Raw genomic sequence first — 26,327 nt, forward strand, 5'->3', positions numbered from 1 at the left:
AGGCTGGAGTGTATGGGTGCAATCTTGGCCCACCGCAACCTCTGCCTACTAGGTTCAAGCGATTCTCCTGCCTCAGCCTCCTGAGTAGCTGGGATTACAGGCATGTGCCACCATGCCCAGCTAATTTTTGTATTTTTAGTAGAGACGGGGTTTCACTATGTTGGCCAGGCTGGTCTTGAACTCCTGGCCTCAAGTGATGCACCCACCTCGGCCTCCCAAAGTGCTGGGATTATCTCTTTCTCTTCCTTTCTCCATAAACGTGTGTGTGTGTGTGTGTGTGTGTGTGTGTGTGTGTGTGTTTGTATACTTTTTTTCCTGAACAACTTGAAGGTTAAGTTGTGGACACATTTATACACTAATCTTTGAGTGTGTATTTCCTAAGAACAAATCTGTTTTATTATATGACCAAAATATAATTAGAAAATATAGGAAAGTTAGGCTGGGTGCGGTGGCTCACACCTGTAATCTCAGCACTTTGGGAGGCCGAGGCAGGTGGATCACAAGGTCAAGAGTTTGAGACCAACCTGGCCAACATGGTGAAACCCTGTCTTGCCTAAAAATACAAAAATTAGCCAGGCATGGTAGCGGGCACCTGTAATCCCAGCTACTCAGGAAGCTGAGGCAGGAGAATCACTTGAACCCGGGAGGCGGAGGTTGCAGTGAGCCGAGATTGTACCATTGCATTCCAGCCTCAGCGATAAGGGCAAGACTCCATCTCAAAAAAGAAAAAGAAAATGTAGGAAAGTTAAACTTGATCCTGTTATCTAATACTGAATACTGTTATCTAATCTATAATTGGTATGCCAAATTTCACCAGTTTCCAATCACGTATCTTACAGCTATTTTTTCTCAGTCCAGGCTACAATCAGGATGCGCATTACATGTTGTTGTCAGGTGCTATTACTCTTCTTTCATCTAGAAGTGTTGCTCAATCTTTCTTTGTCTCTCATGTCCTTGGGAGTTTTCTAAATGAAAGTAAATCTGAAAGCATTCTCGTGGCTGTGACTTCTCTAAATGCTAACTCAGGGGGAAAAAAAAGGAAAGAAATACTTTTCAGTTCCTTGCCTTTGAAGCCTCCGGACAGGTGGGTTTGACAACATCTATTTTGGTCATGCCTGGGCAGTTCTGGCTTATCCATCTACACTAGTCTCAAATGATCCTGGGATTTGCTCTTGGGTACACAGTAGATGCTTAATAAGTAACTTGCTGATGTGCCAGGAGAGAAAGTGAATTGGACCACTGGGTGGAATAACTCAAATGACATTCCAGGAAGGTTTTGCTGCTGTAGATAGAGAGACAAAGGGCTGGCTCTTTCAGGCTGTGTCAGCCCAAGGGCAACATGCAGTCTTGGACTTCATTATCTTATTTCTATTACATAGTGCACTAAGGTTCTCTTTCTCCTCAAATTCCCCAGCAGGAGAGATAGGACTTTCCACTGCAGGCTGTTCAATTCACCAAGAAGAGGAAGCAAATCACAGATCCTGACAGATCCTGCTGTCAGGACTTGGCCAATTTTGAGATGTAATTAAAAAAAATTGTTTATTTTTATTAAAAAAAAAAAGAGTTGGAGTCTCTATGTTTCCCAGACTGGTCTTGAACTCCTGGGCTCAAGTGATCCTCCTGCCTCGACCTCCCAAAGAGCTGGGATTACAGGTGCTCAGCAGACATGTAATTTTTGATCTCCAGCCTGGGGTGTATACATCTGGATTATTTCCTCAGGAATAAGAGAACAGAGCCTTGAAATCAACCTGTTTGAAATCAGCCAGCCTCCAGGATGATCCCGGTCTACGGCCATAGCACCTTGAATGCATCTGATCTCATCTTTTTTTGTTTGTTTGTTTTGTTTTGAGACGGAGTCTCACTCTGTCACCCAGGAGTGCAGTGGCACAATCTCGACTCACTGCAGCCTCCCTGCTTCAAGCGATTCTCCTGCCTCAGCCTCCCGAGTAGCTGGACTACAGGTGCCCGCCACCACACCCAGCTAATTTTTTGTATTTTTAGTAGAGATGGGGTTTCACCCTGTTAGCCAGGAGGTCTCGATCTCCTGAACTTGTGATCTGCCTGCCTCGGCCTCCCAAAGTGCTGGGATTACAGGCACTACCCATCACGCCCATCCTGATCACATCTTTTCTTGGAAGCTAAGCAAGGATGGGCCTCGTTAGTACTTGGATGGGACACCAAGATGGTCCCTGCTGATCCTACCACCCCTGGTATCCACCTCTTCCTGTAGTCCCTTTCCTATGAATCAGGGCTGGCATACATGAACAATACAATAGGGTGACAGTGACTGGGTGTGACATCCGATGCTTAGTCATAAAAGATAATGCAGCTTCCACACTCATCTCTTGTCTAGCTTGTTTTGGAGGAAGCCAAGTTCTTTGAGCATACTCAGGTGTCCATGTGGACAGGACCTGAGGCGCCCAGCCAATAGCTGGCACCAACTTGCCAGCTATGTGAGTGAACCACCTTCAGTGTGGATCCTCTAGCTCCAGGCCAAGCCTTCGGATCCTTGCCACACTGACCAGCATCTGACTGCAGCCTCACGAGCAACCTGGAGGGCTCCAAACACCTGACCCTCAGAAACTGTGAGTGATAATAATTATTGTTTTCTGCCAGGCACAGTGGCTCACGCCTGTAATCCAAGCACTTTGGAGGCCAAGGCAGGTGGATCACCTGAGGTCGGGAGTTTGAGACCAGCCTGACCAACATGGAGAAACCCTGTCTCTACAAAAAATACAAAATTAGCCAGGCGTGGTGGCAGGCACCTGTAATCCCAGCTACTCGGGAGGCTGAGGCAGGAGAATCGCTTGAACTCGGAAGGCAGAGATTGCAGTGAGCCGAGATCGCACCACTGTACTCCAGCCTGGGCAACAGGAGTGAAACTCTTGTTATCTTATTATTATATATTATTATTATTATTATTGTTATCTTAAGCCATAAAGTTTTGGGGCAATTTTCTACACAGCAGTAGGTAATTCATATGATTCTCTTGAAAAGTATAAAGAGAGGTCGGGCGCGGTGACTCACGCCAATAATCCCAGCACTTTGGGAGGCTGATGCAGGCAGATTGCTTGAGGTCAGGAGTTGGAGGCCAGCCTGGCCAACATGGTGAAACCCCATCTCTATTAAAAATACAAAAATTAGCCAGGTGTGGTGGTCCATGCCTGTAATCTCAGTTACTCGGGAGGCTGAGACAGGAGAATCACTTGAACCCTGGAGGTGGAGGTTGCAGTGAGCCAAGATCACACCACTGCACTCCAGCCTGGGCGACAAGATTCTGTCTCAAAAAGAAAAAGAAAAAAAAGAAAAGTATAGGGCTGGGCGCGGTGGCTCACGCGTATAATCCCAGCACTTGGGAGGCCGAGGCGGGCGAATAACAAGGTCAGGAGATCGAGGTCATCCTGGCTAACACGGTGAAACCCCCTGTCTACTAAAAATACAAAAAATTAGCCGGGCATGGTGGTGGGCGCCTGTAGTCCCAGCTACTCAGGAGGCTGAGGCCGGAGAATGGCGTGAACCCGGGAGGCGGAGCTTGCAGTGAGCCGAGATCGCGCCACAGCACTCCTGCATGGGCGACAGAGCGAGACTCTGCCTCAAAAAAAAGAAAAGAAAAGAAAAGTATAAAGAGGCACATGACCCAGAAATTTAACTCCTAGGCATATGCCAAAGAGAAATGAAAACATGTCAGCCAGATGTGATGGCTCAAGCCTGTAATCCCAGCACTTTGGGAGGCCGAGGGCAGGCAGATCACTTGAGGTCAGGAGTTCCAGACCAGCCTGACCAACATGGTGAAACCCCATCTCTACTAAAATACAAAAATTAGCTGGGCATGGTGGTGCACACCTGTAATCCCAGCTACTCAGGAGGCTGAGGCAGGAGAATCGCTTGAACCCGGGAGGCAGAGGTTGCATTGAACCAAGATCGCGCCACTGCCCTTCTGCCTGGGTGATAGAGCGAGACTCCGTCTCCAAAAAAAAAAAAGAAAAGTCCACACCAAAACTTGTACCCGAATGTTCATAGCAACATTATTCATAATAGCCAAAAAATGAAAACAACCCAAATGTCCATCAACTGATGAATGAATAAAGGAAATGTGGGGCCAGGCGCATTGACTCATGCCTGTAATCTCAGTACTTTGAGAGACTGAGGCAGGTGGATTGCTTGAGTCCAGGAGACCAGTCTGAGCAACACAGTGAGATCCCATCTCTACAAAAAATACAAAAAGTAGCCAGATGTGGTGATTGGCATGTGCCTGTAGTCCTAGCTACTCGGGAAGCTGAGACAGAAGGATCGCTTGAGCCCAGGAGTTGAGGCTACAGGGAGCTGTGATCACGCCACTGCACTCCAGCCCGGGTAACAGAGCAAGACTCCCAACTGGGGGTGGGCAAAAAAAAAAAAAAAGGCGGCCAGGCACAGTGGCTTATGCCTGTAATCTAAGCATTTTGGGAGGCCGACACGGGTGGATCACAAGGTCAGGAGTTCGAGACCAGCCTGGCCAAGATGGTAAAACCCTTCTCTACTAAAAATACAAAAATTAGCCAGGCATGGTGGTGGGTACCTGTAATCCCAGCTACTTGGGAGGCTGAGGCAGAAGAATCGCTTGAACCTAGGAGGCAGAGGTTGCAATGAGCCAAAATTGTGCCACTGCACTCTAGCCTGGGTGACAGAGCAAGACCCTGTCTCAAAAAAAAAAAAAAAAAAAAAAGAAAAAAAGAAAAGACAAAGACAGGGAGGAGCAAAATAATGAAAGAATAATTCTAACCTACTAGACACTGTACAATGAGAATCATGAATTGTAATCCCAAGATTTTCTTGCCTTTGGGGAAGAAATTAATAGTATTAATAGAATCCAGATTCCTAATTAAGTCCTGGTGAGAATATGATGCTTCTCTCGTCTGAGAATGACAGCCATTGTCAAGAGCAGCCTTGACCCACTGAAGCTGTAGCCCAGGTGTTAAGACCAGATTTTAAAAAATCAACTCAGATTGCTGATGTTTTAGCCCAGGGCATTTGTTGTGAACTCCCTGGAATTACAGATAAAAAATGGTTCCATTTCATTTATACATACCAATATGTGGGGTTCCAAAAAGTTTTGTAATTATTACTTTCAAAATAAAATCTGATCCTACTTATTCCTGTCTCCTCATTCAAAATGTTCTTTAGAAATAATTCTTTAGCTGGGTGCAGTGGCTCACACCTGTAATCCCAGGACTTTGGGAGGATGAGACAGGCGGATCACTTGAGCTCAAGAGTTCAAGACCAGGCTGGGCAACATGGTGAAACCCCGTCTTCACAAAAAATACAAAAATTGGCCGGGTGTGGTGGCTCACACCTGTAATCCCAGCACTTTGGGAGGCTGAGGTGGGTGGATCACCTGAGGTCAGGAGTTTAAGACTGGCCTGGCCAACATGGTGAAACCTCCCTCTCTACTAAAAATATAAAAATTAGCCAGGCGTGGTAGTGTGTGCCTATAGTCCCAGCTAGCTACTCAGGAGGCTGAGGCAGGAGAATCGCTTGAACCTGGGTACAAGCTTGAACCTCAAGCAGAGGTTGCAGAGAGCCGAGATAGCACCACTGTACTCCAGCCTGGGCAACAGAGCAAGACTCCATCTCAAAAAAAAAAAAAGTACAAAAATTAGCCAGGTGTGGTGATGCGTGCCTGTGGTTCCAGCTACTCAAGAGGCTGAGGTGGGAGTATTGCTTGAGCCTGGGAGGTCAAGGCTGCAGTGAGCTGAGCTGTGACTGAGCCACTGTACTCCAGCCTGAGAGAGAGAATGAGCTCATATGTCTAAAAGATAATAATAATAATTTTTTATTGTTCAGAATTAACTTTTATAATTTTAGAGACCAAGGATAATCGAGATAGCCTGTAATTATTTAGCATAAATAAAGGAGAGAGACATGAAGACTTGTTTTTTGTTTTGTTTTCGTTTTAGACACAGGGTCTTGCTCTGTCACCCATGCTGGAGTGCAAAGGGATAATCAGCTCACTGCAGCCCCTAACTCCTGGGCTCAGGTGATCCACCTGCCTCAGCCTCCCGAGTAGCTGGGACTACAAGTGTATGTCATCATGCCCAGCTAATTTTTGTATTTTTTGTAGAGACAAGGTTTCGCTATGTTGCCCAGGCTGTTATTGAGCTCCTGGCCTCAAGCAATCCTACTGCCTCAGGCTCCCAAAGTAATGAGATTCCAGGAGTGAACCCCCATGCCTGGCCTATAAAATGTTTTTTAACCTTTATTTAAGGTAAATTGTCGTCCCATTTTGCACATGAGGAAAGTGAGACCGAATGGATAATTAGTAACTTGTTCAGGTTGATATGGGTAATACACATAACTGGGATCCCCAGTACTGTTCCATGTTGCCTCTGCAGACACACAATAGGATTGAAGAAAAGGTGTGAAATATCTTACGAATGGCACCATGCTGGCCATCTTCTGCCACAAAATATAAGATCCGAGATTTCATTATTCTATCCACTTGCAGCCCCAAATTCAAAACAAATACATTAATGTGCATTATAACAGACATTAAAAATACTCAGATTTCTTGTATTTCTTAATCTTGTTCTTGGTGTCTTATGTCGAAATGAGGAAATTTAGGATCATTTTAATTGGTGAATTTTTTTACTCTGGGATCCAGAAGTCTGTTAGAACTCCTATTTATAAAACTGCTAAGTGAACTATGCCAAGAACTTACCCAAACCCCTCACTTGGCTGTCATTAGTGTCACCAGTCAATGTTTTATTTTTATGTATGAAAAAAATGCCTTGCTATCATCAAAGTAGGCTGGGGGGATTTCTTCTGGTGGGGATGGGGGTGTAGCAAGGAAGATTGTGAAGAGGTCCATAATGATCTTCCGGAATGGGACTGGGGTGAGGCAACTGCAAAATTAAGTGTGCCCCAAACCCCACTATTAATCAAGATAAGTGCCATTTTTATGCAATATTTTTAAAAATCAAAATTAATGCAGAAAAATCCATGATGAGCAAAACATCAACATTTTCAGTAAAGGCAGGATCCAACAGGGCTGAGATTAGGGGGGTGGTAAGTGATGTGAGTCATGCGAATGCAAAGTCTGTCTTATTTAAAAGTTTGATATTTTGTTCATCATAGATTTTTTTGCATTAACTTTGTTTTTCACATGGTATTAAGATATTATCTTGATTGGGTTTTTGGGCACCCGCTTAAATTTTGCACTTGAGGCAAGTGCTTCACATGCCTTATTTAGTCCTGGGTCTACAGATCTGCATGAATCCTTCCTAGGGAAAGCTAGAAGCAGCTGCCATATCACCTGCCCCAGACATGCCCAGCTTTGGTGACCTGAGCAACATGGGGCTCAGGAAATGCTGTCTTTTCCTGGCATCACTGATGGTGAGAGGAAGCTTTTTCAGCCTCTCTGTGTTTTGCCTTGTTTATCTCATCATGGGGCATGTGTGGCAGCATCTGGCTGGTAAGCAACTTTTCCAGGTGGTATCACAGATTAAGCAGACTCCATAGACCCAATGCGGGGGGAGTGGGTCTTCTTGCCAAGTCTTCACGTTCCTTGGCTGAAAAGTAAGATGCCTGAAAGTCCTATGGAAACCCAAACAATTAAAAGTACACATTAAGCCTTAATAATGCTTGTCAATTTTGAAAAAATCGAGACCGGGTATTCATTGGCCAGCCAGGCTGGAGGGCAATAGTGTGATCATAGCTCACTGCAGCCTCAAACTCCTGGGTTCAAGGGATCCTCCTGCCTTAGCCTCCTGAGTAGCTGGGACTACAAGTGTACACCACTATGCCTGTCTATTTAAAAACATTTTTTTTGGTTAAGATGAGGTCTTGCCATGTTGCTCTCGCTGGTCTCAAACTCCTGGGCTCAACCCTGCCTGCCTCAACCTCCAAAAGTGCTGGGATTACAAGTGTGAGCCACCACCTCATCTGGCCAAAATGATGTTTTTAGATAAATAAAAACTAAGATAATTCATTGCCAGCAGACCTGCATTATTAAAAATGCTAAAGGAAAACGTTTCAGGGTAAAAGGACATGATATGAGATATCTTCAGAATGAAGAACACCAGAAATAGTAAGTATAAGAGTAACATAAAAAGTAATTTTTCTGGCCAGGCAAAATGGCTCACACCTGTGATCCTAGCACTTTGGGAGGCTGAGACCGGTGGATTGCCTAAGCTCAGGAGTTCAAGGCCAGCCTGGGCAAGATGGTGAAACCCTGTCTCTACTAAAATACGAAAAATCAGCTGGGTGAGGTGGCGGGTGCCTGTAATCCCAGCTACTTAGGAGGCTTGAACCCAGGAGGCGGAGGTTGCAGTGAGCCAAGATCATGCCACTGCACCCCAGCCTGTGCCAGAGTGAAACTCTGTCTCAAAAAAAGCAATTTTTCCTCTTCACTTTTTAAAAATCCTATGATTGTTTAAAGCAAAAATTATAACCTCTTACTATGAGATTTATAATTTACATAGATATAATATATAATACACATTTTATATTTTATTTATTTATTTATTTATTTATTTATTCTTTCTTTCTTTCTGAGACAGGGTCTCGCTCTGTCGCCCAAGGTGGAGTGCAGTGGTGCGATCTCAGCTCACTGCAACCTCCGCCTCCTGGGTTCAAGTGATTCTCCTGCCTCAGTCTCTTGAGTAGCTGGGATTACAGGCATGCACCAGCACGCCCAGCTAATTTTGTATTTTAGTAGACATAGGGTTTCACCATGCTGGCCAGGCTAGTCTCGAACTCCTGACCTCAAGTGATCCGCCTGCCTTGGCTTCCCAAAGCGCTGGGATTATAGGCATAAGCCACCGCTCCTGGCCCATAATACACATTTTAAAGTGGTACAATATTAATTCTAAGTAGATTGTGAAGCATTAGGATATGTATTATAATTTCTATAGTGACTACTTAAAATGCAAAGAGTATGTTAATAAAAGCTAATACATAAATGCAAGTAGTTTTTTGTTTTTTGTTTTTTTTTGAGACAGAGTTTTGCTCTTGTTGCCCAGGCTGGAGTGCAGTGATGCAATCTTGGCTTACTGCAACCTCCGTCTCCCAGGCTCAAGCGACTCTCCTGCCTCAGCCTCCTGAGTAGCTGGGATTACAGGCGTGCCGTACGCCACCACGCCCAACTAATTTTTTGTATTTTTAGCAGAGACGGGGTTTCATCATGTTGGCCAGGCTGGTCTTGAACTCCTGATCTCAGGTGATCCACCCACCTCAGTCTCCCAAAATGCTGTAGCTGGGACTATAGGCATGCGCCACCATGCCCGGCTAATTTTTTTTTTTTTTTTTGTATTTTTAGTAGAGATGGGGTTTCACCATGCTGGCCAGGCTGGTCTTGAACTCCTGACCTCAAGTGATCCGCCCACCTCAGCTTCCCAAAGTGCTGGGATTACAGGCGTGAGCTACCATGCCCAGCTGAAAGTAGATTTCTAAAAAATATTCAATTAACTCAGAAGAAGGCAAGAAAGGAGCAACAGAGGAACAGGAAAAGGGTGGGGGTAATGAACAGAGGAACAGTACAATGGTAGACCTACTTCCAACCATACCAATAATTATGTTAAATGTTAATGGTCTAAAACACTTCACTTAAAAGGTAGAGATAGCCAAGCAGATTTTAAAAAGCATAATCCAACTATACTCTGTCTACAAGAGACACACAAAAGAGGTTGATAGGAAATAGATGGGAAAAATGTATTATGCAAACAATAAGCATAGGAAAGTTGAAGTGCCTACATTAAATCAAAGTAGTCTTCAGGATGAGATTATTATTAGAGGTTAAAAGAGAAATTTTATAATAATAAATATCACCTGGAAGGCATAATAATCATACATATGTGTACACCTAATAACAGAGTTTCAAGATACATGAAGCAAAAACTGACAGAATGGCAGAATTAAAGGGAGAAATACAAAAATCCACTATCATATCATAGTTGGACATTTTACTTCTCAGTATCTAATAAAGAAACTAGACAGGCCAGGCGCGGTGGCGCATGCCTGTAATCCCAACATTTTGGGAGGCCGAGGTGGGCAGATTGCCTGAGGTTGAGAATTGGAGACCAGCCTGACCAACATGGAGAAACCCCGTCTCTACTAAAAACGCAAAAAATTAGCTGGGTGTGGTGGCAGGTGCCCGTAATCCCAGCTACTCGGGAGGCTGAGGCAGGAGAATCGCTTGAACCTGGGAGGCGGAGGTTGTGGTGAGCTGAGATCACACCATTGCACTCCAGCCTGGGTGACAGAGTGAGACTCTGTCTCAAAACAAACAAACAAACAAACAACAACAACAACAAAAAGACAAAGGAAGATATATGAATGGCTAATAAACGCTTGAAAAGGTGCTCAACACCATTAGTTATTCAGGGAAATACGAATTAAACCACAACGAGGTATCACTCCACACTCAATAGCTTAAGTTAAAAAGCCTGACAACACCAGATGTTGGCATGGATATTGAACAATACTTTCCTATATTGTTGGTGGGAGTGCAAAATCATACAACTCACTTTGAAATAAAGTTCTGGAAGTTTCGTGTAAAACTAAACATACACGTATTACCTAGTGATTTCAGTCCCAGATATTTACCCAAGAGTAATGAAAGCATATGTCCACAAAAAGACTAGATTGAAAATGTTCATAGCATTTTTCTTCATAAGGCCCAAAAACTGGAAACCTTCCAGATGTTGGTCAACAGGGGGATGGATAAGGAAATTGTGGTGTATTCATACAAGAGAATATTACTCAGCAATAAAGAGGAACAAGTTGTTCATGCAACACCATAAATAAATTTCAAAACCGCGCTGAGTGAAAGAAGCTGTTGACAAACAAGTGCATATTGTATGATGGTATTTATATGAAGTTCTAAATCTGGCAAAGCTAATCTATGGTGCAAAAAATGAGAACACAATGGTGGTGAGGGAAATTGGGTAGGTGCCTGAGGGAACTTTCTGGGTGATAATGTTTCATGTTTTGACAGGGGTATAGGTTACACAGGTGCATACATTTCTTAAACTCATTGAATGGCACAGTTCACATACATGCATTTCACTTTGTAGAAATTTTCCCTCAAAGAAAAACTCATAAATAAATATTAAACCTTTGTGAATGATATTGAAATGTTTGAGGGTAAAGTGGACTGCTGTGTAGAGTTTACTCTACACATGCATTTATTTTTTATTTTTATTTTTGAGACAGAGTCTTGCTCTGTTGCCCAGGCTGGAGTGCAATGGCACGATCTTGACTCACTGCAACCTCCGCCTCCCGGGTCCAAGTGATTCTCCTGCCTCAGCCTCTTGAGTAGCTGAGATTACATGCACCTGCCACCACACTAGCTAATTTTTTGTATTTTTAGTAGAGTTGGGGTTTTAGCATTTTGGCCAGGCTGGTCTCAAACTCCTGACCTCAAGTGATCTGCCCGCCTTGGCCTCCCAAAATGCTGGGATTAAGGCTTGAGCCACCGCGCTCAGCCAACACATGCATTTTAAAAATGCGTTAAAAAAAAAAAAAGATGAATTGGCCAGGCATGGTGGCTCACACCTGTAATCCTAGCACTTTGGGAGACTGAGGTGGCTGGATTGCTTGAGCTCAGAGGTTTGAGATCAGCGTGGGCAACATAGTGAGACCCCATCTCTACAAAAAATACAAAAATTAGTCAAATGTGGTGGCATGCAGCTGTAGTCCCAGCTACTTGGGAGGCTGAGGTGGGAGGCTGGCTTGAACCTGGGAGGCAGAGGTTGTAGTGAGCTGAGATGGAGCCACTGTACTCCAGCTTGGGTAACAGAGCAAGGCTCTGTCTCAAAAAAAAAAAAAAAAAAAAGATGAATTGATAAATGGATATAGGATAGATAAGTGATAAAGCAAATATAAAATTTTAATTTAGAATATGAGTGGTTGGTTCATAATAGTTATTGACTGTACAATTATTTCAACATTTCTATATGTTTGAAAAATTTCAAAGTAAACTCTTGGGGGGAACTTGAGTATTAGACATGTCCAAATATGTTTATAGCAGCACCATTTGTAATGGCCCCCAAGTGGAAACCACTTATATGTCCATCAACAATACATTGTGGTATAATCATGTAATGGAAGAGTATATAATAATCAGAATGAAAGATCTATGAGTATATGCAACAGCATGAATGAATCTCACAAATATAATGTTAAGTGAAAGAAGTCAGACATAAAATATAAGACCCATTCATATAAGGTGTAGAAACAGGCAAAACAAGTTCATGCCATTCAGAGTCAGGCTAGTGATTGCCCTTGGGCCGAGTCATGGCTAGAAGAGGACATGGGGGGCTCCTGGGTGTCCTTGAGTAAGCTTCTGTTGCTTGACTTGGGTGCTGGTTATATGAGTCTGCACAGTTTGTGAAAATTCATTGAGTGGCACATACTTCTCCCTATTATCTATTATATGCTCCAGTGAAAAGTTTTTCAAAAATTAATGTTAGCCCTCACTCCTCCTAAAACAGGTTCCTCAGCCCAGCCCCACCCCTGGGAATTCTTTGCCAGCCATCTTGCTCACATCTCCCTTCTCCCAGTTCCCAGGCTCTGACACGCCTGTCTCCCTCACCTGCCAGGGAAGAACTCAGTGCAGAGGAATTTAGTTCTCAACCTCTACCCTCATCTAGGCTGCAGGATGAATCCAACTAGAAAAGACTTATTAATGACCTAAACCATGGAGCCAAGCAGCCCAGGAGAAATTCCTTTGCTTCCTTACAACCACAAAAATTGCCATGGGCATTTTTTTACAAGCAAAATTTGTCTTCCCTTTACAGAGATGTCAGCATATTCCCCTTCTACCACCCTGAGTTATCCCTTCCATCTTCTTTGCTTGAAAGTGGTGGTTGCAGCTCACTTCCTTTGCCAAATCTGGGAAGCAGTGACTTGCCTAAGAGATTGTTCTAGTGCTTCAGCTCAGGCTTGAGGGTCCCTTGGCTGAGCCAATCCTCAGACCTCAGCAAAGCCTGGATGGAGGTGTATGGGGGAATGGGGGTAAGAGGACAGGGGAGGAAGGAACAGAAATATGGTGGTGAGATGAGAGTAAGATACAGAACTCAAGGACAAAATCCCTGCCCTGCCTAGTCTTACCGAGAAGTCTAGAGGAATCCACATCTAAACTAAGCAAGAGCACTATTTAATTAAGCATTTCTTATTTTCATCTGATGGGTCAAGTTTCAGTCCTCTTGTTACTTGACCAATGGGAAGCATTTGACACAGTCAACCTTTCCCTCTATCTTGAAACGCTCTTCAAGTAAGTTTCTTCTTACCTCCTTATTTTATTTTATTTTATTTTTTTGGTCTGCTCCTGCGGGTTCCTCCTCATCTAAATGTTGGAGTGCCCCAGGGCATGATCCTTAGACCTCTCTTCTTAAGCTACTTTCACTTCCTTGATGACTTCACCCACTTTTGTGACTTTAAAAAATACCATCTATACCCTCATAACTTCCGCATTGGCGTTTCCAGCCAGCTCTCTCCCCTAAACTTCAGAACTGCTTGTTGAACCACCTACTCATCTCCACCTAGGTCCCTAGTAGGCATCTCAAATGCATCATGTCCAACGCTGAGCTCCTGATCCCTCCTCCAAACCCATTCCTCCCACGGTTATCTCAGTAAATGGCAACTCCATTCTTCCTGATGCTCAGGCCAAAAACCTGGGTGTCATTCCTAACTCCTCCCTTTCTCTCACCTCCCACCTCCAAACTGTCAGGAAATTTTGTTGACTTAACTTCAAAACACAGAATCCAACTACTCTTGCCACCTTCACTCCCTCCATCCAAGCCACCATCAGCCTCCACCATTATTCACAGCATCCCTGCCTTGTGCTTCCTCAGTCTGCTCTCAACACAATGGCCATAGTCGTACTGTTTTTTTGTTTGTTTTGTTTTGTTTTTTTTTGAGGTGGAGACTCGCTCTGTTGCCTGGGCTGGAGTGCAATGGCGCGATCTCAACTCACTGCAACCTCCACCTCCTGGGTTCAAGCGATTCTCCTGCCTCAGCCTCCCAAGTAGGTGGGATTACAGGCATCTGCCACCACACACGGCTAATTTTTGTATTTTTAATAGAGACAGTGTTTCCCATGTTGGCCAGGCTGGTCTCAAAGTCCTGACCTCAGGTGATCTACCCGCCTTGGCCTCCCAAAGTGCTGGGATTATAGGTATGACGCACCACACCTGGCCCAGAGTTGTACTGTTAAAATGCAAATGTTAGGGCTCAGAAAATGATACCCCAAAGTATAGTGCTTTGGCAGGCTTAGTACTTTGAACTAAAGGACATTAGAAGGCCTCAGAAGCAAAGTATCTCTCTGACATTTTCTTGCCCTCCTATCTCCTGCCCCTTTTTCTCCACTGAAGTGAGTCATAGAAACCAGAATTCCTCTTTCTCCAAGCCACATCATAAAAACTAGAAACCTGGGTGGGGCAAAGTGGCTCACGCCTGTAATCCCAGCACTTTGGGAGGCCAAGGTGGGTGGATCACCTGAGGTCAGGAGTTTGAGACCAGCCTGACCAATATGGTGAAACCCCGTCGTTACCAAAAATACAAAAATTAGCCAGGCGCGGTGGCACATGCCTGTAATCCCAGCTACTCGGGAGGCTGAGGCGGGAGAATGGCTTGAACCGGGAGGCGGAGTTTGCAGTGAGCCAAGATTGCGCCACTGCACTCTAGCCTGGGCGACAGAGTGAGACTCTATCTCAAAAAACAAAAACAAAACACCCAAAAATGTAGAACCCCTCTCCCCCAAAGTGATATTTCTCCCCCTAGAAATATCACTCACTCTAACCTTCGCCCACCTTTCTGTGGAGGAGCTGGCCATTAAGAAATTCTCTGACCTCCCTCATCTGAGAGTAAGTCATAAGGCCCTCTTTCCAGAAAGGTCCTACCCTATATCTGAGAGGAAGAAATGCTACACAGAAAGGCCAAGAAGAATCGGCACAGACAGGCCTTGCTAGGTTTCCCCCTCAGTCTGTTTGCATTAGATCATACCCCCCTTGACTAATCACATCTCTACACAGCCGCCCATTCTTCCTTGAAGCTAAGCAGAAAAATGGACAGTTTTCCCGGGGTGTTTAGGTCTTCATTTCTGAAGTTCCCTGTGTCATGTAAAACTTTGATTAAATATCATGCTAAAAACTCTCAATAAACTAGGTATTGATGGGACGTATCTCAAAACAATAAGAGCTATTTATGACAAACCCACAGCCAATATCATACTGAATGGGCAAAAACTTGAAGCATTCCCGTTGAAAACTGGCACAAGACGGGGATGCCCTCTCTCACCACTCCTATTCAACATAGTGTTGGAAGTTCTGGCCAGGGCAATCAGGCAAGAGAAATAAATAAAGGGTATTCAATTAGAAAAGGAGGAAGTCAAATTGTCCCTGTTTGCAGATGACATGATTGCATATTTAGAAAACTCCATCATCTCAGCCCAAAATCTCCTTAAGCTGAGAAACAACTTCAGCAAAGTCTCAGGATACAAAATCAATGTGCAAAAATCACAAGCATTCCTATACACCAATGACAGACAAACAGAGAGCCAAATCATGAGTGAACTCCCATTCACAATTGCTTCAAAGAGGATAAAATACCTAGGAATCCAACTTACAAGGGATGTGAAGGACCTCTTCAAGAAGAACTACAAACCACTGCTCGACGAAATAAAAGAGGACACAAACAAATGGAAGAACATTCCATGCTCATGGATAGGAAGAATCAATATTGTGAAAATGGCCATACTGTCCAAGGTAATTTATAGATTCAATGCCATCCCCATCAAGCTACCAATGACTTTTTTCACAGAATTGGAAAAAACTACTTTAAAGTTCATATGGAACCAAAAAAGAGCCTGCATTGCCAAGACAATCCTAAGCCAAAAGAACAAAGCTGGAGGCATCAGGCTATCTGACTTCAAACTATACTACAAGGCTACAGTAACCGAAACAGCATGGTACTGGTACCAAAACAGAGATATAGTTCAACGGAACAGAACAGAGGCCTCGGAAATAATACCATCTGATCTTTGACAACCTGATAAAAACAAGAAATGGGGAAAGGATTCCCTCTTTAATAAATGGTGCTGGGAAAACTGGCTAGCCATATTTAGAAAGCTGAAACTGGATCCCTTCCTTACACCTTATACAAAAATTAATTCAAGATGGGTTAAAGACTTAAATGTTAGACCTAAAACCATAAAAGCCTTAGAAGAAAACCTAGGCAATACCATTAAGGCCATAGGCATGGGCAAGGACTTCATGACTAAAACACCAAAAGCAATGGCAACAAAAGCCAAAATTGACAAATGGGATCTAATTAAACGAAAGAGCTTCTGCATAGCAAAAGAAACTACCATCAGAGTGGACAGGCAACCTACAGAGTGGGAGACAATTTTTACAATCTACCCATCTGACAAAGGGCTAATATCCAGAATCTACAAAGAACTTAAACAAATTTACAAGAAAAAAAATCAAACAACCCCATCAAAAAGTGGGCAAAGGATATGAACAGACATTTCTAAAAAGAAGACATTTATGCAGCCAACAGACACATGAAAAAATGCTCATCATCACTGGCCATCAGAGAAATGCAAATCAAAACCACAATGAGATACCATCTTACACCAGTTAGAATGGCGATCATTAAAAAGTCAGGAAACAACAGGTGCTGGAGAGGATGTGGAGAAATAGGAATGCTTTTACACTGTTGGTGGGACTATAAACTAGTTCAACCATTGTGGAAGACAGTGTGACAATTCCTCAAGGATCTAGAACTAGAAATACCATTTGACCCAGCCATCCCATTACTGGGCATATACCCAGAGGATTATAAATCATGCTGCTATAAAGACACATGCACACATATGTTTATTGCGGCACTATTCACAATAGCGAAGACTTGGAACCAACCCATATATCCATCAATGATAGACTGGATTAAGAAAATGTGGCACATATACACCATGGAAATACTATGCAGCCATAAAAAAGGATGAGTTCATGTCCTTTGTAGGGACACGGATGAAGCTAGAAACCATCATTCTGAGCAAACTATCACAAGGACAGAAAACCAAACACCACATGTTTTCACTTATAGGTGGGAATTGAACAATGAGAACACTTGGACACAGGGTGGAGAACATCACACGCCGGGGCCTGTCGTGGGGTTGGGGGAGGGGGAAGGGATAGCATTAGGAGATATACCTAATGTAAATGATGAGTTAATGGGTGCAGCACAGCAACATGGCCCATGTATACATATGTAACAAACCTGCATGTTGTGCACATGTACCCTAGAACTTAAAGCATTAAAAAAAAAAAAAACCTTTGATTAAATAAATGTGTAAGGGCCAGGCGTGGTGGCTCAGGCCTGTGATCCCAGCGCTTTAGGAGGCCAAGACAGGCGGATCACTTGAGGTCAGGAGTTAGAGACCAGCCTGGCCAACATGGTGAAACCCCGTCTCTACTAAAAATACAAAAATTAGCCGGGCGTGGTGGCGGGCACCTGTAATCCCAGCTACTCAGGAGGCTGAGGCAGGAGAATCGCTTGAACCCAGGAGGCAGATGTTGCAGCGAGCCCAGATTGCGCCATTGCACTCCAGCCTGGGGGACAAGAATGAAACTCAGTCTCAAATAAATAAATAAACAAACAAACGTGTTAGGCTTTTCTCTTGTTAACCTATCTTTTGTTATAGGAGTGTTGGCAGTGACCTTTATGATGGGTGAGGAAAGGCATCACACTTTCCCACCCCACACTAGGCTACTCAGAATCCTCTACGAGCTCCCCATTCCACTCGGAATAAACACCAACACCCTCGCCAGGCTCTGCAGGCCTCCACAGAGGCTGGTGTCCTCTTCTCACCTCTCTCACTGCATTCCTAACTATGCTTGCCTTCACTTGTCCTCCTCCCGTCACGCTGGTCCCCTCGTTGTTCCTTGAGTGCAGCAGGCACACGTCGGCCTCTGTGCCCTTGTAGTTTCCCTTCCCTCCATTTCAAATGCCCTTCCCTTTCCATGCCTCAGTCTTCTTAGCTCTGAAGTTTGGTATCACATTCCCAGTAAGGCCTGCCCTGGCCACTCTGTGTGCAATTCTACCTTTTCTGACACATTCTCTATCTCCTTTCTCTGTCTTATTTCTCAATTTAGCACTTATTGCTATCTAATACAGTTTTTTTCTTTTCTTTTTTTTTTTTTTTTTTTTTTTGAGATGGAGTCTTGCTCTGTCACCTAGGCTGGAGTTCATTGGCGTGATCTTGGCTCACTACAACCTCCTCCTCCGAGATTCAAGCCATTCTCCTGCCTCGGCCTCCCAAGTAGGTGGGACAACAGGTGTGTGCCGCCATGCCCAGCTAATTTTTGTATTTTCAGTTGAGACAGGGTTTCACAATGGTGGCCAGGCTGGTCTCGAACTCCTGACCTCAGGTGATCCACTGCCTTGACCTCCCAAAGTGCTGGGATTACAAGTGTGAGCTACCACGCCTGGCCTTAATATAATTTTTTTACGTATTTATATTCTTTTTTTTTTTTTTTTTTTTTGAGATGGGGTCTCATTCTGTTGTCCAGGCTGGAGTGCAGTGGCATCATCACAGCTCACTGCAGCCTCAAACTCCTGAGCTTAAGCCATTCTCCAGCTTCAGCCACCGGAGTAGCTGGGACTACAGGGACACAGCACCACTCCAGGCCAATTTTTATATTTTTTGTAGAGATGGGGTTTCACCCTGTTGCCCAGGCTGGTCTCTAACTCCTGGGCTCAAGCGATCTACCCGCCTCAGCCTCCCAAAGTGTATTTGTATTTTTGCGTGTCAGTCTGCTTCCATAGAATGTAAAGTCCGTGAGGGCAAGGACTTTTGTCTGTTCTGTTCACAGCTGGGTCTCCTAGAACAGCGTCTGGCATACATAGGTGCTCAATAATTATTGCACAAATGAATGATGATTTCAAAATGTCCTGCGAGGTGTTAACAGACTAGAGGAAGTCAGTCAGTTAAGGGAGAGCTCAGAGTGGGCTGCAGATATCTGGAAGGGGGTGGAATTTCCTTCAGTCTTTAGAGAATGGGGGGTCCTTGGAAAGGTGAGAAGAAAGGGAGACTCATTTGCACAGTGATTAAGGGTGTGGGCTTTTGGACTTGGTGGCTCACACTTGTAATCCCAGCACTTTGGGAGGCTGAGGCGGGCAGATCACCTGAGGTCAGGAGTTTGAGACCAGCCTGACCAACATGGAGAAACCCCATCTCTACTAAAAATACAAAATTAGCTGGGCATGGTGGCACATGTCTGGAATCCCAGCTACTTGCTTGAACCCTGGAGGTGGAGATTGCGGTGAGCCGAGATCGCACCATTGCACTCCAGCCTGGGCAACAAGAGCAACACTCTGTCTCAAAAAAAAAGAAAAAAAAAAAGAGTGTAGGCTTTGTAGTCAGCAGCCTGGGTCCAAGTCCCGCCTCAGCTATGCACAAGGCACCTAATTTCTCTGGGCCTCAGTTTCCATATCTATAAAATGGATCTAACCATAGCACCTACCTCATGGGGTGTTTGTTTTCTTAAAGGATCCAGTGAAATACTTTATATATAATGTCTAGGCAAGGGCAGAGTACTTAGGAAGACTTTGCTCAAAAAGTTGTAGTTATCACTACATAGAACTTAGGATACTTAAGAGCTAGGACTTCATGTCAAAGGTATCATGGAACCTCTCAAACAGGGAACAGAGAGATGGAGCTAGTTTAGACTTAAGAGGAACAGCCCCTAATGGGTATAACAGTTTCTGTCTCACAACTATCAGTTTCTGGCCTCAGCCACCTGGGTTGAACCCAATTCCCATCTCACATTAGTTAAGATGGCTTTGCTTACAAGAAAATAAGGAATCAAAATTAGGCACAAACATGGCATGAGGCCTCTTCTGGGGACCAAGTAGCTGCCTGTCGCTGATGCAATCAGAGTAAAGAGAAATGATTCAGTTCAATCCTGCCACCAACCTCAGGATTTTGGCCAAGTGCAGGTTTGGGGTTGGTTGGTGGGTTATTTTTTCCCTTCCTGATTTGAAAGACTGACTTTGTGTTTCAAAAAGGCACTTTCTTTATGCAGAGAAACTCTGTGGTGAGGTTTTGCTGAGCTCGGTCTGGGGTGGACTACCTTTGCTTATGTCTGGGGAGAGAATGAAATCTAGTGCCCCTAATTTTTCTTTCCCTTCCACCCAGTAAAGACACAGAGCTGAAAGGTGTCTTTCAAAAGGGCTGGAGACAAGGGAGCTGACTCCCAGGTAAAAGGACACTGTACAGGAGACTGCCAGAGAAGTGGCTTCTTGTTTGTTAGCATGGGTTTGTGGTGAGGAGGTCTGTGAAGCCTTCCCCCAGAGTACCCGGGACTAAACAGAACAAATACAACCTCTATTTGTTCATCTCTCCCCTGGCTTTAGATGGTGCTTTATGGCCAGGGTTATGGGGATCAGCTGAAATCCAGGCTGATGTTTATTCCTGGGATTGCAAAGACAGACAAATACCTCTCTGTCCTTTCATTTACCAGGCCAGGAGGGCAGGAGACATTTTTGATCAAGCAGGCAGGCAGTGAAGAGTTATTTTTTAGGTGCCCACTGTGTCCCTGTTGCTGAGCCACGTAAGTATAAATAGAAAAAGTACAAGATTCAGGCTTCAGCCCTGAAGACACATAAAATCCAGTTAATAGGAGGAGGCTTGGTGGGCAAAACAAACTCAAGAGAACCTGTTAACAAACAGTGATGTGAGTTAGGAAGAATTAAACGAGGTAAGCGAGGAGGAAGATGAGCAGGAGATGGCGGGGGGTGGTGCAGCTCTTGGAGGAAACTTCACAGGGAAGGTTTGTAAGACAATAAGCAACATATACTCTGGTTTCTCTTCAAAACGAATACATCTTTCCCCTTTTACAATAAGTAACATGGCTACAGAAAGCACATCTGTTTTTTTCCCCACTGTAGCCCAGCGCTTAGCATAATGTCTGACACACAGTGGGCATTCAGTAAATGTCTGAAGAATGGATGGAGAAGGAGGGGGCTGATTTAAGAAGGATAAGTAGGTGAAGAAGAGGGAGGAGGGCATTCCAGCATGAGGAAAGGCCCAGAGAAATGAGCCGGATGCCTTGGTGAGACTGGTTTAACCACAGTGGAGGGTGTGGAGTAAGGAGTAGTGGGTAATGAGGTTAGATACGGGGCCAGATGGGGGAAGGCTGGAAAGCCAGGCAGAGAAATTTAGAGGAGATGAACATTCCTTCATTCTTTCATCAAGCTTTTATTGAGCACATGCTACGCTCTAGGCACAGAGGCAAGGGAAAGTAGTGGAGACAGAAAGATGAAAAAAAGACATGACCATCTGTTGGGGATAGGCAGAATATCTATCTTTTATTGTAATAACTGTGATAATCATAATATGGGCAAAATATTTTGATATTCTAATCAATTAAGTTGCATGAAACTGAGGCCGTACCAAACTTGCTCAAATAAATTGGGAGTTTATTGAAAGGTGCATCAGACATCCAAGGCTAAGACATGGATTCAAAAGAGACCTGGTAAATTGGGCACCGACCCTCCTCCTTCTCTCCTTTCCTCTCTTGCGATCATGCCTCATGGATGGTCTCTTACTTCTGCTCTTTTCTGTACATAGGCTTCATCCTCTGGCTTATCTCTCTTATTAGGATTTTACCTGGTGCAAGCTTGACATCTTAATGCCACAATACTCTCCTGCTCCAGGCCCAACCTTCCTCATTCACTCTCTGAACTATTTAAGTCAGACTCTGAAGGACAAAGAAGCCGATTGGCTCAGTTCAGCCCATGGGCTGGGTCAGGTGATCACTCAGAACCAATCAGCTGTGGCCAAGAAGAAAATCATGTGATTAAAATATGGCTGCCTAAGCCTACCAAGAATTCTGGATGAAGGTCAATTACAAAGAAGGGGTGTGCACCAGGAGACAACAATAGACAAGCTTAATTCCCACAGGTTAACAATGCAGGGAGCAAATCAATTCACTTGGGTTGGGTTACCCCAAGGTAAGGGAGAAGGCCTGATTTAAAGGTCCGATTTAGTCCTGGGGTGGGAGGAAAGACGTTCCTGCTGTCGATGAAAGCGGCATTCTACAGCCACTAGACTGGCTGCAGCTCTTTCAAAGAATTGAAAACATCGAGAAACTGAAGGGACCCAGACCATCCAGAAAGCTTTTGCCTAATCCAGAACGGAGAGTTTAGAGATAAGTCCTTTTTTAAAAATGTAGCTTTTTGGTTGTTAAGGGCAGAATCTGCTTCTCACTTGTTGCTATAACCTCTGGCCACATAGGCTCATTGTAGAAACTCACTACGCATTTGTTCAATTGAGTTTAAGTCCTCTAAAACCCAGACAATCAACAAACATGTTGCTATTTGTATTCTGTTAGAAACAGAGTCTAGACTAGGAACACAAAACAAAACAAAACAAAAAATCAAAACATGATTTTTCTGATTACTGATGCAGGACTCGGGTCACTGGATGCAGATTTGATGAGAAGTAAAAATGCAGCAGCGGGAGAGTCTGAGGCAAGGTGCCTGGCGGAGAGCTAGATAAACAGATAGTGCTGTGCCCGGTGGCTCCAGGGGCAGATCAAAGCCGGATTTCCCAGCACAGGTAGCAAGCATGGCAGGAATCTGGGAGACCTCTCACCCAGTCCCCAACCCACGCTCACAGATGGAAAGCCACACCATTATTGGTCACACCTTTGCGCATTGCCAGCACGCAGGCGTTTGTGACAAATCTTTTATAGTCTAGTATATAGCTCTCTCAGATAGGCAGCTGTGATATGATTGGGCCCTGTGATTTCTGGCTAGGCCGCCTGGGTTCAGTTCACAGCTGATGTCGGGCCCACTTGGCAAGCGTCTCAACTACTTAACTGCTTTGTGTCTTAGTTTCCAAATTTGTAAAACAGGGAGAATAAACTCCCTTAGGGGGTTGTTGAGGGGATTAAGTGAGATAATATGTATTTATGCACATGCATGTAATATGCAAAGCAATGAAAATAGTGTCTGGCGCATTGTAAGCAATTATGGTTACTATCACTGCTACCAAAAAAACTAGACTACAGAGAAGAGCTTCCAACCTGGAGGACTCTAAAGATCATTAAAACCCACAGAGAGTGACCTGTTGGTAGATATGATTTGGGCCTGCTTGAAACCCATCCCTCCTTTCTTCTGGGAACAGACCCTAGATAGGCCCAGGAACAGAAATTCTTTCCTAGGATTTTTCCAACTAGTAGAAAAAAGTGTACTCCCTCTCTCCACAACATTTCCACCTTTTGGGTTTCAAATAGTAAGGATGTCAGCTCAGAGCTGCCTTTGTTCATTTCCCCTTCCCTGTGGAGTAGCTGGCCTGAGAGAATGAAGCCGATTTGCAGAGAACCTGGAACAGAATTCTGGCTTGAGCAGAACTGGAGTTTCTGAATCCAGTTGACCGTGGATCCAGATACCCACTCCCACTGGTCTGTAATTTGATTACAGAAGTCATTAAATCAGTCTCTCTCCTGAAACTACTTTAGATTCGGTTTCTATTACTTGCAACTAGAATTTGTGCTTGAGGGTCAATTCAAGATGAAAACAGCGGAGTTTTAATTTTTTTTTTTTTACGTTGAACACCACCACCACTAAGTTTTATGGCAAACAGTGTAAAGTCTCACTGTTTACATTACTTTGTTTATTAAGTAAGAGCACAAGTAAGAAAATTGATGGTGTTTTGCCCAGGCGCGGTGGCTCACACCTGTAATCCCAGCACTTTGGGAGGCCGAGGTGGGTGGATTGCCTGAGGTCAGGAGTTCGAGACCAGCCTGGCCAAGATGGTGAAACCCCGTGTCTACTAAAAATACAAAAATTAGCAGGGCATGGTGGTATGCACCTGTAATCCCAGCTACTCGGGAGGCTGAGGCAGGAGAATTGCTTGAACGGGGAGGTGGAGGTTGCAGTGAGCCGAGATTGTGCCACTGCACTCCAGCCTGGGCAACAGAGCGAGATCCGTCTCAAAAAAAGAAGAAGAAAATTGATGGTGTTTTGTAGCCACTAAAATATTCCTATCTTGGAACATTTGGAAAGGAGTAACCCAGGGTCAGCTTTTAAAAGTTTCGTCTCTTAAGTTTTTGTTTGTTTGTTTTTTAGAGACGGGGGTCTCCCGCTGTTGCCCAGGCTGGCCTCTGGAGTGGCTGGGCCTATAGGCACATGCCACCAAACCGGATAATTTTAAGAAAAAAATTTTTATAGAGACAGGAGTCTCCCAATGTTGCCCATGCTGGTCTCAAACTCCTGGCCTCAAGCAGTCCTCCCACCTTGGCCTCCCAAGTAGCTGGGATTACAGGTGAGAGCCATTGTGCACGGCCATCTCTTAAATTTGTAAGCTCTTCAAAGGCTAGAGTACATTTACCTCAAGGGTTGCAAACTCTAATGCTACAGGAGCCAGGCAGGTAATACCTGGAGTGAAGTGGACGGGTGTATGTAAGACAAGGAGTGATGGGGACTGTGGCAAAGCAGTGAGTGCTTGATCCATCGGGGAGAAGCTGCTACCGCTCAACACCAGCCAATTGTTTCCATGTGCAAAATTTGGGTGCAGAGTTACCAAGCTGTCCAGTTTTTAAGAGATTCTGGACATTTGGAATATTTCATGAGAAATCCTCTCAGTTGTGAATGTTGGTTATGAATTCGGCTTTAAGAAATGATCATGTAAGAAGGGTGACCAACCATCCCGGTTTGTCCAGGACTGAGTTGTTTCCTGTGATGTCTAGGATAAGGGGTTTCCTGGGATGTGGAACTTTCTTTCTCTTTTCTTTTCTTTCTTTCTTTTTTTTTTTGAGACGGAGTTTTGCTCTTGTTGCCCAGGCTGGAGTGCAATGGCGCGATCTCGGCTACCGCAACCTCCGCCTCCTAGGCTCAAGCGATTCTTCTGCCTCAGCCTCCTGAGTAGTTGGGATTCCAGGCATGCGCCACCACGCCTGGCTAATTTTTTGTGTTTTTAGTAGAGACGGGGTTTCTCCATGTTGGTGAGGCTGGTCTCGAACTCCCGAGCGCAGGTGATCTGCCCACCTTGGCCTCCCAAAATGCTGGGATTACAGGCGTGAGCCACTGCGCCCGGCTGGGATGTGGAACTTCCACTGCACATAAGGATGAGTTGGTCACCCTATGTGTGGGCCAAATAGAATTAACATGAGACCGCTGGCTCATACACAATGGTCTCATTTCACCCCAGTGAAGTATCTGTGCCCTCTAGGTCGCTATCTCCACAATCCACTTTATAGAGACTTCTACAATAAGTGTGACACAGAAAATCTATTTATTCTATGACCAGTGAAACACTCTTTCATGTCCCCTTGTGGGCCTGGCTTTGTGTGATCAATAGGATTCAGGTCTCTTCCAGCTGCGTCTGATAGCTTCTCTATGGTTGTAAAATCTTTTCTCTGCTTGGGGTGGGCAAGGCCCTCTGGGTACCCAGGAGATTATAGAGTTTTTTTTTCCTTAATCCCTCCTCTTTCACCTGAAAGAAAGGCTACATATATAATTATATGCCATTTAATGAACTTGGACCTGCTCCACATTATGAATGTGGAAACTGCAAGCATTGGAGTAGGAGGTGACTTGCTTGTGGCACGCAGCACATTGGTCTAACCTCCAGTGTCTCGTTTGCTGGCATGGTACCTGACTCTTGTATTAAGCAAAGCGAAGGGGAAGAATATTTGCTGCCTGTCTCCTGGGTGCCAGGCCCCATTCTGGGTGCTCATATGGCCCTCCTAATTCCTTACAAACTCCCAAGAGGAGGACTGGCGTTCCAGGCCACCACCCTGCCAATCCAGGCGTGCCAGGAGGGCGTATGGAATTGCCAGGTTGTCATTGCACAAGGGGAGGGGTGTACGGCTCAGAATTGAGGGAAATGCTAAGGGTCACTCATAGGCTTGAGCACGAAGCTCACCAGGTGTCCGTGCTCTGTAGGTGGGTTGCAGGGAGAGCCAGGTCCACCCCTCTGTGAAGTTGTTCTTTGATGAGATGATGCGTATTAAGTGAACTATAAACTTTTAAGAGCACATTCCATACCCACTCGAAAACATTAGGAATCATTCCCTTTGGGAAAGTTGGTAGGCTCAAGGCAGTAGAGCGTGCTGCCAGCCTAGAGGGGCCCCTGTTAGTATTTCCTCTCACCACTAGTCTGAATTCTTGTAAGGGAGCCAAAATTAGAAAGAGAAGTTTGTGTTTTATTAATACCTTTAGCCCTTACAGCTTAGGTGTCTTTGGCTCCTTTGAACATAGTGGCAGGAAGACAGGATCACATCGCCGTTCCCAGCAGAAGGTTTTTTCCTGTCAAATCTGAATTCAGATCCCAT

The 26,327-nt window shown here is 44.6% G+C and overlaps 1 long non-coding RNA gene across 1 annotated transcript, besides 1 other annotated feature; it reads left to right on the forward strand.

The window, feature by feature from the left end:
• The first annotated feature begins 21,543 nt into the window (after window positions 1-21,543).
• Window positions 21,544-23,426, forward strand: LOC105371325 (uncharacterized). Its single transcript, XR_933697.3, has 3 exons — window positions 21,544-21,949; window positions 22,457-22,606; window positions 23,340-23,426. It is a non-coding gene; the product is annotated as an uncharacterized LOC105371325 (long non-coding RNA).
• Window positions 21,780-22,979: an enhancer, noted in NCBI's record as "BRD4-independent group 4 enhancer chr16:69556814-69558013 (GRCh37/hg19 assembly coordinates)". NCBI's record gives its function as "activates an origin of replication core promoter dependent on BRD2, P300/CBP, MED14 and CDK7 cofactors, and independent of BRD4, by STARR-seq in HCT116 cells {active_cell/tissue: HCT116}" and the evidence as "EXISTENCE:reporter gene assay evidence [ECO:0000049][PMID:35650434]".
• Window positions 23,427-26,327: the final 2,901 nt, after the last annotated feature.

The sequence above is a fragment of the Homo sapiens genome, chromosome 16 (assembly GCF_000001405.40).
Source record: "Homo sapiens chromosome 16, GRCh38.p14 Primary Assembly".
Taxonomy (NCBI): domain Eukaryota; kingdom Metazoa; phylum Chordata; class Mammalia; order Primates; family Hominidae; genus Homo; species Homo sapiens.